The following is a 15,261-nucleotide window of genomic DNA, read 5'->3' as shown; positions in this document are numbered from 1 at the left end:
TCAGCTTTGCCTGTGGTCTAACCATACCTTCAGCCACAGTGGCGGCAAATTAACAGCTACCATTTCCTGAAAGCTGACAATGAGCTGCATCTGGATGTGCTGTTGGCGGACATTATTGCTTTAATCATCACAAAGACCTCAGAGGTGAGTACAATCATTTCCCCATTCTGCCAATGAGGAAACTGAGGTGTAGAGAGGGTAAGTAACTTGTCCAAGGCCATACACCTAGTAGGCGGGGAGCAGGATTCAAGCTTCTTCAATGAGCATGCAAGAGAGAAGGGGAGGAGCCCTGTGGAGCAGTTGGAAAGGCTCAGGAGCCGGCACCCAACCTCATTCACCCTGGGCCAATCACTCAATCTCTGTACAGAAGGAGGTGAACCACCTTGCCCACTGCCCCACAGCATTGCTGAGAGGTCCAAATGAGATCACATACAGGAAAAGCCGTGAAAACAGTAAAGCATTCTATAAACACCATGTGCTATTGATAAAAGGACAGAAGACTAAATCATACTCCTTAGGAGCACAACACTTCAGTCATTCTGGCTTCAATGGAAAGACCACACCCCCTCTCGTCCCCTGACTTAATGCTTTCAATAAACAGCACAGGATTTTCTCGAGCGATCTTTTAAAGATGAAGGGCTCGGGTATGCATGCTGGTCCTTGAACTGGTCTTTGCAGGGAGCTTTAGTGTCTTACAATATTTAATACAGACATCCTGCCTGAGCTATTTATCCTGACTTGGGAAAGTAACCATTTCACTGTTACTATTAATTCTGTTCCAAAAAGAAAAAAAAGACTATTGTAATTTTACACCCTTAATCTATGCAACACAGGAATGAGAAAGAAAAAAAAAAACCCAACACGGTACTTTCTCATGAGTGAGGCACATTATATATAGTAATTCGCATTTTATTATTTTATCATTATGAATAGTAAAGTCCACAGTTCAGTCCTCAGACAACATTCAGGTAAATGTTTTACATATGAGACACCTGCCTGTAATGTGATGACATGAGATATATATATGGATATATATATATATGGATATATATTTTGAACCACTGTGATTTACTAGTCTATTAAAATGCCATTACACATTTAAAAACTGAACAATTACAACAATGCAATCTTCAAGCAATTAAAAACAAAGAATTGTTGAGCCAACATGGGAGATCTGCTGAGTAATCTGGCCTTTCAAGTAATGTCTAGTGGAAACCCTGTTTTCTCCTTCCATCTGAAGATCATCAAAAATAAAAAACAAACCTACACAAAAAACCACCTGCTCTGAGTGAAAGTCAGGATTCAGCCCACATGACTCAGGGACACACTCCCCAGCGGTTGCTGGAGGCACCATCACTCCAACATGTGCAGGAGCAGCGAGGGGTCCACCTCCACAGCCCGCAGCCCGTTGTGCAGGCTCTGGAAGGTGGCCTGCTTCCCGAAGCGCTGCCGCCAACGGATGAAGGCCTCCACCACCTGCGACTGCACGTTGTGGGGGTGGTTGGCCTTACAGCGGTAGATATCCGTCTGGGACAGTCCCAGAGACAGCACCATGGGCTCCCACTCAGGGCCCAGCCTCTGGGCCAGCTGGTTAATCTGCCGGTCTGATGGGGAGCTGTTGAGGATGTGCGAGGGGATCCCAGTCAATCTGTCACCTGAGGAGGAAAAAGACACCCCGGTGAAATGAGCAAGGCAACAAACACATCATTTGGGGGCAGAAATGAGAATCGTGGGGAGAAGAAGGCAATGCTTCCAAATGGCAGAGCCAATTGGCTCTTGTCTTCTTCCTGGGGGCTGCTCTGTACAACGCCATGATTCAGGGCTTCAATGCTGTTAAGTATCTGTGAAAATGTTTTTACAGAAACTTTTTTTTTTTTTTTTTTTGAGACGGTGTTTCACTCTGTCACCCAGGCTGGAGAGCAATGGCATGATGTTGGCTCACTACAAACTCCACCTCCTGGGTTGAAGTGATTCTCCTGTTTCAGCCTCCCAAGTAGCTGGGATTACAGGCAACTGCCACCATGCCCAGCTAATTTTTGTATTTTTAGCAGAGACAGGGTTTCACCATGTTGGCCAGGCTGGTCTTGAACTCCTGACCTCAGGTGATCCACCTGCCTTGGCCTCCCAAAGTGCTAGGATTACAGGCGTGAGCCACAGCACCCTGCCTGTTACAGAAACTTTGAAAGCAACAAAATAAAAATAACTAGAAATCCCACCAGAAAAACTCATTGATAATAACTAGTCTATTTTCTTTGATATATAAAACACACATGAAGGGTTACCTCGTACATGCTGCTTTGTAACAGGCTTTTTTCACTTCTATCCCTTTTACTCAAGGCCAGGCAAGGCATTCTGGGGGAATTCAAGAATGGCTGCACAGACCCCAGCTCCCTCTGGCACTGTCTGTGGCCTTAGTGATGGGGCCTGTTCCAAGGCTGGGAATGCCCCTCCCTGCAGGAAAGGCACGTGCTAGAGGACAAAGGCTAAACCAAACAGCTACCCTCGCCGATGAGGTTGAACTTGAAATATTACCGAGAAAACGTGTAGCTGCTAACAGAAGCCAGAGCCAAGAGGGCTGCTGAGAACAAAATAAACCTAAGAGGCCATAGGGTAGCAGGAAGGGAAGAGAGCGGGGTTTGTTCATAGCAGAGGCCACAAGAGTGGAGTTACCGTTCTGGCAGAGCCCAGAAGAGGAACAGGAAGTATGAGACGGGGCAACGAGGAAATCTGACCTTACACTTCCTGAACTAGATTCTTATTTGCCTGAGGCCAGTCTGCTAAGAAGCATGACATTGAGTGAATGGTTATAAATGTGCCCAGCAAAACCAGTGAGCAGTGCCTTTGGTTATACAGAGGAGCTCCTAACTTCATTAGGGAAGGCCTTCCAGGGGAAGGAGGCTAAAGCTAAGCCCTGAACACTAGGAGGAGGAGCTGGGTGATGAAGGAGGAACAGGGCGTGGCGCATCTCGAGAAGAGAGAATTGCATGTGCAAAGGCCCAGAGGCAGGAGAATCGCAATGGAGGAAGTGAAAGGCACTCACAGCAGCCAAGTGCAGAGATTGAGACGGACTCCAAACATCCAAAGTCATTTGCTAGGTTCAGACATTTGTTTGACAGCACAGTACACTATACTCCCATCCATCAGCATCACAGGGATTCAGGTCAGTCTACTTCATGCTCATCAGTCCACTATTGTGTTTTGATTTATGATTCAATAAGAAGGCAAAGGCACCTTATTACAAGAGCTGATGTTTTCCACAGCCCATGTCTTTGGCCTCTGGGCAGCGGCCAGCACCTTAGAGATGAGTTGCAAAAATATTGTCAAGGGCTCTTTCTGGTGTTTGTCAACACTACAATTTAAAAAACAATGACTATGACGCAATTAGAATACTGATGACACTACTGATCAATAGTTGAGATTAACAGCAATGATTTTACGGCTTGTATAAAAACATAGGCTCATTAAAAAAAAAATAAAGCAACAGAAAACAGCGCAAAGAAGAAAAGAAATCATCCAATATCCCGCTATTGTGTTTACAGTTGGTGACCATCATTCTGGATATCTCTGTATGCACATACACTGGTAGAAGGCTAGATAGAGGGTAATGGGTTCATTTAAAATGATAACATATGACCTTTTCTTTCCAGTAAGAGCTATGTAATTTTGTTTGGATGTAACAGAAGAAAAAGCAGAAGTGAAACAAAATGACATTCTGACCAGCGGTTACAAGTTAACATACTTGAAAACATACACACACACAATTTAATGCACAGAAAAAAGTTACGAAAACTCAAGGGTTAACTGCATGTTTTTATAGAAATACTCTATAATTACTTTACATTTCCTCTCCACTTCCTCACACTTGATTTTTTTTCACTTACATAATTTTTATTTTGCCAGATGCCTAATAGTTATACATTTCTTTAACAATCATCCATGCCCCCTTGCCCCATTGTTTAGTCCTAAGGTGGCATTGTAATGGTTGAATGCTCACCAGTGTTTTGTTGTTGTTGCTGTTGTTACTGTTCTTCATCTGTGGCTTTTCTACTCCTGGGTCTGTTCTTCTGATTTGAGTCATTTGGGTCAATTTCATCACAGGGAGGTTTTTTTTTTTTTTTTTTTTTTTCAAGCAATGCTCATGACTGCCATAGTCTCTTGACTTCTTTCAGGTCAAGGCATCCTGCTTATTGCCTTCACTGGAATAATAACTTAATATTTAGAGAACAATTTTATATTATTTTTATCTTTTTATATTCTTAACAGTATAATATAAAATTATATTCATAATTTTAAATTATATTATTTAAATAATGTTATTTCCCTTAAAAGTTTGTAGACCTTGTTCGTACTTTATGGTAGGGGTTGCTGATGTGGAGAATTCTGATACCAACTTAGTCATCCAGTATTTTGTGTAACTTGCTTTTCCTGTCTGAGGTCTAAATACTGAAACTTTAGACCAGGGTATATGTTATCCATTCTACATCTGCACTTTCAGATATGTGGCATAACCTTCTTTTTTTCTGAGACGGAGTCTCGCTCTGTCATCCAGGCTGGAGTGCAGTGGCGTGATCTCAGCTCACTGCAAGCTCTGCCTCCTGGGTTCATGCCATTCTTCTGCCTCAGTCTCCGGAGCAGCTGGGACTACAGGTGCCTACTACCATGCCTGGCTAATTTTTTTTTGTATTTTTAGTAGAGATGGGGTTTCACTGTGTTAGCCAGGATGGTCTCGATCTCCTGACCTTGTGATCCGCCTGCCTCAGCCTCCCAGAGTGCTGGGACTACAGGCGTGAGCCACTGTGCCTGGCTGGCATAACCTTCTAACCAAAGATTCAGTTGTTTCTTCCTTTTGGGAAAATCTTCCTGGGTCACATGGTTGCATTCTTTTCTTGCTCCATATGCTGGATGGCTGTGCCTCTCCTCCATGGCTGTTATATTGTCCTTATTGCTTTAATCCCCTCCTTGGGATTATCTCACTCTTTGATTTTCAGCTATGTCCATCGTGTGTGTGTGTGTGTGTGTGTGTGTGTGTGTGTGTGTGTGTGTTCTGGTTTTAACGTTGTATTGTGTTTTTGTTCTTTATTTCTTTTCTTGGCTCTATCTTTTAAAAAATCCATTCCACTTCACACTCATTAGGAGAGCTACTATCAAAACAAAACAAAACAAAACAAAAAACAGTAAGTCCCAAATGTTGGCAAGGGTGTGGAGAAATTGGAACCCTTGTGCACTATTGGTGGGAATGGAAAATGGTGCAGGTGCTGTGGAAAACAGTATGGCAGTTCCTCAAAAATTTAAAAATAGAATTAGCATATGATCCAGCAATCCCACTTCTGGGTATATACTCAAAAGAATTGAATGCAGGGACTCAAAGAGAAATTCGTACACCTATGTTCATAGCAGCGTTATTCACAATAGCCAAAGGTGGAAGCAAACTGAGTATCCACTGGATGAATGGATACGCAAAATGTCAGAGACATACAATAGAATATTATTCAGCCTTAAAAAGGATGGAAATTCTGACACATGATCCAACATGGATGAATCTTGAGGACATTACACTAAGTAAAATAAGCCAGTCACAAAAGGACAAATACTTTCTGATTCTATTCATATGAGGTACTTGGAGTTGTCGAATTCAGATACAGAAAGCAGAATGCTGGTTGCCAGGGGGTGGGGGAGGGAGAAATGGGGAATTATTGTTTAATGGGTACAGAGTTCCAGTTTTGAAAGATGAAGACTTTTGGAGATTGGTTATAAAACAATGTGAAGGTACTTAACACAACTGAATTGTACATTTAAAAATGGTTACAATGGCAAATTCTATGTTATGTACATTTTACCACAATTAAAAATAAAAATTAAAAGAATCCCATTGTTGTTTTATCATGATGACATCTTGAGTTTTTGTTTCTACTCAATTGATGCTGAGTCTTTCTATAGCATAAAATACTTGTGAGGTTGAGTTTTCTAGGACTGGGTTTTCTTATAGACCAGATTGGTTGTATGTTTATTTTTGCAAGCTGTGTTCCTTTCTTTTCTTTATTAAAAATATATATATATATATTTAATAGAGACAGGGTCTTGCTGTGTTGCCCAGGCTGGTCTCAAACTCCTGGCCTCAACTGATCCTCGTGACCCAGCCTCCCAAAGTTTTGGGATTACAGGTGTGAACCACTGTGCTCAGCCAACAAGCTGTGCTCCTCTCTTGCATTCCTCTGCTGCAGCATTTCACAGAACAGTCATGACACTCACTGCCATCTTGTTCATACTTATAACGTGAACATCTCTGTCCAGAACTGCTCTTTGCTCTCCCAGAGCAAGCTGATGTATCTTTTGACACTCTCCTCACTTTATAGGGAACCAGGTGTCGTTCTACCTCTGAGCTACAACTTTAGGTTGGCTGCTGCTTTCCATGAACACTTCTGCCATGGAGGAGAGGCAGGAGTCATGAGGCCTGTCCTTGGGGGCTCTATACTCTGTCCTCTTTTGGAGGGGAGTTAAATGTCTTAGACCAGGGCCCACTCTGCCAAACCAGGGCAGACTCACTCCTATGGTCTCTTTCCTGTAACTCAACACAGAGACTAGGAGATGGCCTCCCCAGGTGCCTTCCTAACTCTGCCAAGGGTTTTGTTTTTTGTTTTTTGTTTTTTTAACTTTTACCAAGTCTATCCACTCACCTCCTCAACCAGCTGCTTCCCATATTGATCTGTATTAGGAGGAACCCTCAGGAACTGGTCCTCTCGCCTTCCTTTTCCAGTACTGCTTCTGAGGGGCTACGGTGGGGTGCACCCTTCCTTGCCTGCCACTTTTCAAAGTGGTTGAAATAAAGCTGTAATTGTTTTTTGTTTGTTTGCTTGCTGCAAGAGCCTGTGGGGCTGGGTTTGATTTTGTTTCTAACTGCATTTTCGTTCTGTTGGTTGGGTGTTGGGAAGGGAGTGTCTGTGTTTCTGCTATACTCTGTCATCCTTCTCTCTCATTCTTGGCCAACATGAATGCAACATATGCTTCGAGCCAATTATTTGGAAGTAAGGACAGAGTTTGCTCTGATTCTTCCACACTTTCAGGGTCACTTAGCCCTTGTAAATAGGGCCACATAACTGGGAGATGGCCAGCAGTCTGTGGACACAGGCCGGAGCAAAGGTAATTGGCACATAAGCACCACCCCACCAAGCAGATCAAGCCTTTCCAAATGGACATCTTTGCACATATAGAGAGGCAATCACAGCTGTTTGTGCTGTCTGACCTCTATCAGGGACAGTATCCTCATGAGACCCGTTCAGTTCGTGAATTCTGCTGAACACAAGGTTACTTAAAAATGAGAGTCCCAAGGATGTCAACTCTCAAGGATATACTACATAAAATCAGGTCAAGCCATAAATTAATCCACTGCGACCATCTGGCTACTACTTCTCAAAGCTAGCATGCATGCCACTAGCGGAGTGCAAGATGAACATTCTGTATTGCAATAGTCATCTATTTTAATATGATTAGAAAAATATCAATAGCATTTCAAACTCATGATTGCAAGGATCACAATAAGTAAATTAAAATGCAGATATAGAATGACAACTAAAAACTTAAAAGTCAGTTAAAAATAAATTTAAAGGGCCAGGTGCGGTGGCTCATGTCTGTAATCCCAGCACTTTGGGAAGACAAGGTGGGTGAATCACTTGAGGTCAGGAGTTCCAGACCAGCCTGGCCAAGATGGTGAAACCTCGTCTCTACTAACATACAAAAAAATTAGCCAGGTATGGTGGTGTACGCCTGTAATTCCAGCTACTTGGGAGGCTGTGGCAGGAGGACCACTTGAACTCGGGAGGCAGAGGTTGCAGTGAGCTGAGATCGCATCACTGCACTCCAGCCTGGGCAACAGAGAGAGACTCCCTCTCAAATAAATAAATAAATAAATACATAAATAAAAATAAATTTAAAGAAAAGCATTAAATTAGGCTGGGCACGGTGGCTCACGCCTGTAATCCCAGCCCTTTGGGAGGCTGAGGCAGGCAGATGACTGGAGCTCAGGAGTTCGAGACCAGCCTGGCATACATGCTGAAACTTCATCTCTGCTAAAAATACAAAAATTAGCTGGGCTTGGTGGCGGGCACCTGTATTCCCAGCTACTTGGGAGGCTAAGGCAGGAGAATTGTTTGACTCTGGGAGGCGGAGGTTGCAGTGAGCGAGATCACGCCACTGCACTCCAACCTGGACAACAGAGCAAGACTGTCTCAAAAAAAAAAAAAAAAGAATAAAAAGACAAAAAAGAAAAAAAGCATTAAATTAGTGGTAGAAATGGTACCTAGATACCGCAAAAATTAAACAAGGGGACCCCAAATGACTGAAGCTTAGGAAGTGCATTATTTCTCCACAAGTGTGCCCTTAGCATTCTAGGCAGGCAATGTGCTGTACAGAGCTTCTCCAGTACATGACGGGGTCATCAGCATCCCTGGCTTGCACCTTCTAATTGCTAGTGATACCCCTACCTTACCACAAACACACATGTTCACATACCCTGGGGTGAGGCAGTACTATCTCTGGTTAAAACCACCAGACATTGTGGTATAGAATGTTCATCCTGGTTTAAAAAATCCCAAATGGGAATTTAACTCCTTTTAGACGGCCCTCATACAGGGCTGTATAAAATGTTCTCCCTTATACAGATCCTAAATTTTTCATGCAATCTTTTAATCCCATTCTCAGTGAAACTCGTCGGTTTCAAAAGGGGCAATATATACTGACAACCCCATTTACTGCAATGAAGCCAAGGATCCACTTAAAGGAAAATGGAAACACCTCCCCCTACTCTCCCCCACCCCCGCCCTGACTTAACTTATTCTCTCGCCCCTCCATCCCTCATTTCTGTGGTCACTACGTGAATGAAAACAACATAGCATTCTCCCTCCTTCTCCAGCTACCTCCTCCTCCCTCAGCCATGCCTATCAATCACTGTTTTGGCCTCAAAACTAAAAATCTCCTCTCTAATCCCTATTGCATTTTGTGAAAGTTTCTCACATAATTTTTCCAGGTTTTGTATATGACATTGCTGACTCCGAAGCTCCTTATGGGCAGAGACCAGCTCTTCTACTTCTGTGACCTCCTTCCCCTCAGTCTTTAGCCCTTTGCCTAGCACAAAAGGGAACTCAACGTACACCTTTCCAGGAGCTGATGATCATCTTAAAGCAAAAAAGCCCTCCAAGTCAAGTTCCCGACTCACCATCTCCACTAGCTGTCTGTTTGACTTCATCTGTTCCAGAAAAAAAGCCATGTCTTCTAACGAATCTCTGTGCAGCAGTACTTCCTACCTATTCCTTATTGCTTTCACTGGAATAACTGGTTGGATGTGGGTTCTGTGAGTGAAGGACAGTCCACAGGCCCAGGGTCCTGTCTGGTCAACCTCCTGTTTTCACCTTGCATTCAATGATGTGATCACCTTACAGGTAATCTGAGAATGGGAACTCTCCAGGGTTCAAAAGCACAGTTGAGAAGCTGAAGACCAACGGCTAAGAAGAGGTGCAGCAGACACACAAATAGCTGCTGGAAGAGTCAAAAAAGTTTTTTAACTATGAAATTCCTTTCTCAACTTCAGTTATTTTGTGATATGAGAGGAGATGTTGTAAGCAGGTATTTTTTTTTATTTACGACGGTGACTGGGTTGGTCATGGGGTAGCACTTTTAAAAACTATATACATTCCTCCGGAGGGTCTGGTAATATACCAGTCACCCCAGCTCACGGCTGCAGTGAACCACTGTTACTGATGTAAGTGTCATATGCTGCAGGTGTGCGGGACTAGAAAAAAAAGCTGAGCGAAGAGACTGTCCCGTTCCAGCACAGCCGCTTTTTAGAAGACAGGGCTAAATCCTGCTGTGAGGACATTTAAGTCCTCTGCCCATGTCAAGTCCACTAATGCTCCATTGATCAAAGCAAGATATGTGGCCAAGCCCAACACCAACAGGAAAGGGAATTAAATCTTCCCACGGGGTAGGAGGAGTGAAAGTTTGCTGAACAATGACCTCTAAACACTCAGAAGTGTTGGATATTGGTGCAGGAAAAAACAGAAACTTGAACAGACCAAAGTATGAAATACACTGAAATAGCAAACAAAGCCCTCCCTTGACAAAGAGCCCTAGGCCCAGATGGCTTTACAGGTAAGCTCCATCAAATGTTCATGGATCCTGTGGACCTTGGACAAGTTAAAGGGGGAAAAAGAAAAAGCTCATGAAACACTTAATTTCCTATCATATGTAAGTTGTTCCAGAAAATCAAAAAAGGACAAAAGCTATCTAGCTGATTTTATGAGGATACTACAGTTTTTATTCCAAACAGGGTAAGAATACAAGAAGAGGAAAAATTATAGGCTTGTTTCAGTTACGATTTTAGAAGCAAAAATTATAAATAAAATATTAAGTAATTGAATCAAAAAATTGAAAGTAACATATCATGAACAAGTAGAATGTATCCTACGTTTGCAATAAATTTCAACATCATAAAATCTACCACTTAACTCAATATATCAATCCACCAAAGAGGAAAGTCATTATTATCTTAATAGATGCAGAAAAAAATTTGATAAAGTTTGACACATAACTATAATTTGAAAAAAATATTTCTTTAAAAATTCAAAATATGGGAAACTTTCTTAATTTGGTTAAGATTGTAAAAGCATTTGATTTGGTGAAGAAACTTTAAATGTATTCTCTTTAAAAAGACAAGGATGCACACTTGTCTGGACTGTATAAGATCCAATACTGTGGAATACAGTATTGGACGTCCTGACCAGTGCTATAAAGAAAAGAAATTAGTTTTGGGAGGCCGAGGCAGGCAGATCACCTTAGGTCGGGAGTTCGAGACCAGCCTGACCAACATGGAGAAACCCCCGTCTCCACTAAAATTACAAAATTAGCCAGGCGTGGTGGCACATGCCTGTAATCCCAGCTACTCGGGAGGCTGAGGCTGGAGAATCGCTTGGACCCAGGAAGCAGAGGTTGTGGTGAGCCGAGATTGAGCCATTGCACTCCAGCCTGGGCAACAAGAGTGAAACTCCATCTCAAAAAAAGAAGAAAAAAAAAAAAGAAATTAGTTAGTTATAAATAATAAGCATTTCTAGGGAAGAGATAAAACTAACATTATTTTCAGACAATATGACCTAATACATAGAAAAATATCAGGATTAGCAGATAATCTATTAGAGTAAGAGGACTGAGCAAAATTGCCAGATACAAGATCAACTTAAAGCAAAAAACTACAAAGCAGCATTTCAACACTCTTACAATAATCAAATACAAAACATAATAAAAATACAATAAGCAATGAGAAGGATAAAGGATCTATGAAGTTAATAAAGACTGTATAAGACCTTCATGGGGAAAATTTTAAGCCTTTATTAAAAGACATAAAGCAAGATCTGACTAAAAGGAGAGTCCCTGTTGTGCTAGATGGGATGACATTGTTATAATATAAAGATGCCAATTCCTATTGTGACAATTAAAATTCCATAATGGGGAAAGAAGAGGCTTTCCCCAAACTGAGGAGAACTAGCTAATTACAGAGGAAAAGAAAACTGGCCTAGAGCATCACACCATGAACAGTGGTGGATCCCATGGAGATAAAGTCCCAAAGGTAAAAGGTAAAACTATAAAGTTCATGGAAAATAAGGCAGGAGTATCTTTATGGCCTGTGGTCAGAAGTGGTTTTTAAAATTAATCTCCCAAAGGTAAATTTTTTATATCAAAATTACGGATTTCTGCTCAATGAAGGAGACGTGATCCAAGCTGATGTCTAAGACCAAGGCTAATGTCTAAGACCAATAAGGGAAACACTATCTAGGCTGGGTAAGGTGTTTCTGAAAACCAACAGCAAAGGTAAGAACCTCCACAGGAAACAGAACAAAGGTATGAACAGGTGATTCGAATTAGAGGAAACACAAAAGCGAGCACATAAAGAGATGCTCAAATGCAGAAATTTAAGAAACAAATGTAAACAACAATGATAAAGCACTTTATATGTATAGAAATCTAGACAATACCAAGCTTAGGCTGGGACGTGATGTAGAGAACGTTGTTCACCGCCAATGGAAATAAAGATCGGACAGTCGTACTGGCCAGCAAGTTGGCAGTGTGGGTAAAATTGAATGTACTTTCCAATCTTGTTCTGTTAGACGTACCCAAGAAAAGTTCTAAAAAAGACCTGTAAGGGACATGTATTAGGTTGTTTGTGTAAAGCTTCGTTATTTGTGCTAGCAAATACACGTATATCTTATAATCCAGAAACCCTCTTTTGGGAGATATAGATATAGGTATAGATATCTCCATCTCAGGAAAATTCCTACACAGATCCATGAGGGGTCACTATGAGGTTGTTTATATGAGGTAATACTGTCGGAAGAAAGGAGTTGGAAGCAATCTAAAAGCTCATTGCTGGGGGAAGAGATATAGAAATACAAAACAGCACATAGGGAATACTGGCAGAGTTAGAGGGGATGGACTAAATGCAGTGGAGAGCAAAAAATGTAAGGAAAAGAATCAGGTCTATACAAATGCAAATTAAGAATATATGTCCAGGCCGGGCACCCATGGATCACGCCTGTAATCCCAACACTTTGGGAGGTCGAGGCGGGTGGATCGTTTGAGCTCAGGAGTTCAAGGCTAGCCTGGGAAATGTGGCAAAACTCCATCTCTACAAAAAAAAAAATTAATACAAAAAATTAGCCAGGTGTGGTGGTGCACACCTGTAGTCCCAGGTGCTCGGTGGGGAGGCTGAGGTGGGAAGATCACCTGAGCCAGGGAGGTCAAGGCTGCAGTGAACCCTGATTGTGTCACTGATCGAACTTCAGCTTGGGTGAAAGAGCCAGACTCTGTCTCAAAAAACAAAAAAGAATGTATGTCCAAAACACCACTTACAAAAACACACACAAATAAAGGAATACATATCAGTCAGAATAGTTATCCTTATCTATGAGAGGGAGGGGGAACAAGAGTGAGTATATGAATGGAAAAGGAAGAAGCTTTTCACAGACCAATTAGTGAAGTAGACCATAAACTGATGAGCGCAAAGGAAAAAAAAAAAAAAGAGAGAGAAAGAGAGAAGCAAGGGAGGAAGGGAAGGAAGGAGGGAGGGAGAGAGTGAGAGAGGGAAGGTCAAGAGTCACTCTGAACCCAGCTGTCTCACGGTACCCCTGGGGCTGACAACATCCAGTTTCTCTGTAGCTAATGTGAGTGGAGTGAGTGGAGTGAGTAGAGTGGTGGAGTGGAGGAGGTCAGGGGTAGGGCGGGGCTGTTCCAGGCTGGAAAAACTAACCTGATCAGCCACCTCCCAGGACTCATGAATTAACCCTGGTCCCTGAGTACAAAGGCTCTGCAGAAAAATCCCTTTGGCTGAGAGACTGACTGCCTGGAAAAAGAAAAAAAAAAAAAAAAAAACCTCAAAAGGAAAACTAATTAGAACCCCTTGTTCTGCTTGTTCTGATAGATAATCACAGAGAACAATTTGGTCCTCACAGAGAGATGGAGAAATCATGTTTAGTCTTTCTAAAACCGATTTCCAGGATGATTAAGTGAAACCCACTCCAAAGAACAAGGTTATGTTGCAAAATACAAATAAATCCCATTTATTGTAATGGAAGACTTGATTTGACTATCGAGTCCATGGAAGGTCAACAATAAAACTGTTAGCAATAATTGAGCTCGCACTGAATTAAAAGGTGGGTGGTAGGGTGGACACAGCTCTGGGCTAAGAATTAGGAAGCCTGGGTAGTATAAATTTGAATCTGCTACTACCTAGCCGTATAGCTTGGGATAAGTCATTTGGCCTCTCTTAGACTGCTTTCTTCTTTGTAAAAGGTAAAACCAGATGACTTCTAAGGCTTTATTTCAATAAAACATATTATCTTTTTTAGAAGTGATTTTGTTATTTTCAACAGATCTTATGATTTTTGACTTCTCATTAAATCAAACCATTTATTGTTGTATCACTTTTCTTTACACATTTTCTAAGATAGAAACAACCCTCGTGGGCCTTTAGTAATGATTTTTGCTTATTTGTTTCTGCCTTTTAAAGATCACACATGGAAACCGCCCGGTGGCTCATGCCTGTAATCCCAGCACTTTGGGAGGCCGAGGCGGGTGGATCACCTGAGGTCGGGAGTTTGAGACCAACCTGGCCAACATGGTGAAAACCTGTCTCTATTAAAAATACAAAAATTAGCTGGGCGTGGTGATGCACGTCTGTAATCCCAGCTACCCGTGAGGTTGAGGCAGGAGAATTGCTTGATCTCAGGAGGTGGAGGTTGCAGTGTGCAGATCGCACCACTGCACTCCAGTCTGCGCGACACAGCGAGACTCCCTCTAAAAAAAAAAACAAAAACAAACAAACAAACAAACAAACAAAAACGTGAAATGAATATCTGGTACAGTAAATTTTCAAAACAGTAAAAACAATTAATGTTACAGTTTGCTGGGCCATTCATTTCTCTCACATGGACCAGACACAGCTCCACCAATTTGTCATTCATCCGGTTCCTTGAACACAGCAGCCAGCTGCGAACCAGAGAGCCTTGCACGAGCTGTTCCCTTTCCCTGGGACACTCTTTCACTGACCCCTTCACCAAATATAACTTCTCAGGGCAGCTGCCCTGACTGCCCTATTCCAAACTGCAACTCCCATTCCACTGTCATTCCCTTTGTCCATAAATCACCTTGTAACGTGTGATATATTTTATAGATGTGCTGTATTTACTGTCGCTGCCTGCCCCCAACCCTACACACTCATGCCTGCTGGAATGTAAGTGTCTCGCAGGCAGGGGAGCTTTGTCCATCCTGCTCAGTGATGTACTCCAGGCACCCAGGGTAGTGCCTTGCACATAGTAGGCACTCACTACATATTTGCTGGATGAGTGAATGAATGAAAAGGAATGATTCATTACAATGATAACATACTCACTTAGCTTTATTCTCTATAGCTACAGTATTACCAAGTGCTTCTACTTTTAATTTACTTTGTATTTAAAACCAGAGAAATTACATTGCATAATCTGAGGGTGAACAGAAAATTAAAAAGAGAGGAAACTCCATAATGGTAAAATATTGTCAAGGTTAGATGTGGGCTGTTACCTCTTTTTATGCCAAACTGGGCTACAATGAACTCCCCTTTCCCACATCCATGTTTCATTTGAAAAGAGAAAGACAGGCAAGCCCCAAGAAGGCTTCTGGGTAAATATGGCAGAGTGAGGCCTGACCCCAGAGTCTCCATCCCCTAACACCTAAGGGAATGAA

At 42.1% G+C, this 15,261-nt stretch overlaps 1 protein-coding gene across 5 annotated transcripts in view, besides 2 other annotated features; it reads right to left on the bottom strand.

The window, feature by feature from the left end:
• CRADD (CARD and death domain containing adaptor protein) overlaps positions 1–15,261 on the bottom strand; it is a 217,466-nt gene that overhangs the window by 43,216 nt on the left and 158,989 nt on the right. For 2 of the 5 annotated variants that reach the window (NM_003805.5, NM_001320099.2), the window contains exon 3: positions 869–1,655. The exons of the other annotated variants lie outside the window; for them this stretch is intronic. In NM_003805.5, the coding sequence (NP_003796.1) occupies positions 1,354–1,655 (302 nt within the window). In that variant the 3' untranslated portion in view covers positions 869–1,353. Of the gene's footprint in view, positions 1–868; positions 1,656–15,261 lie in introns of those variants that run through there. 5 annotated transcript variants of the gene reach the window in all.
• Positions 2,566–2,665: an enhancer, noted in NCBI's record as "active region_6773". NCBI's record gives its function as "activates an Ori minimal core promoter by ATAC-STARR-seq in GM12878 lymphoblastoid cells {active_cell/tissue: GM12878}" and the evidence as "EXISTENCE:reporter gene assay evidence [ECO:0000049][PMID:35858748]".
• Positions 3,582–3,631: a silencer, noted in NCBI's record as "silent region_4718". NCBI's record gives its function as "represses an Ori minimal core promoter by ATAC-STARR-seq in GM12878 lymphoblastoid cells {active_cell/tissue: GM12878}" and the evidence as "EXISTENCE:reporter gene assay evidence [ECO:0000049][PMID:35858748]".

The sequence above is a fragment of the Homo sapiens genome, chromosome 12 (assembly GCF_000001405.40).
Source record: "Homo sapiens chromosome 12, GRCh38.p14 Primary Assembly".
Lineage (NCBI taxonomy): Eukaryota > Metazoa > Chordata > Mammalia > Primates > Hominidae > Homo > Homo sapiens.
The sequence above is the reverse complement of the archived record's forward strand: the minus strand, read 5'-3'. Positions and strand labels throughout refer to the sequence as shown.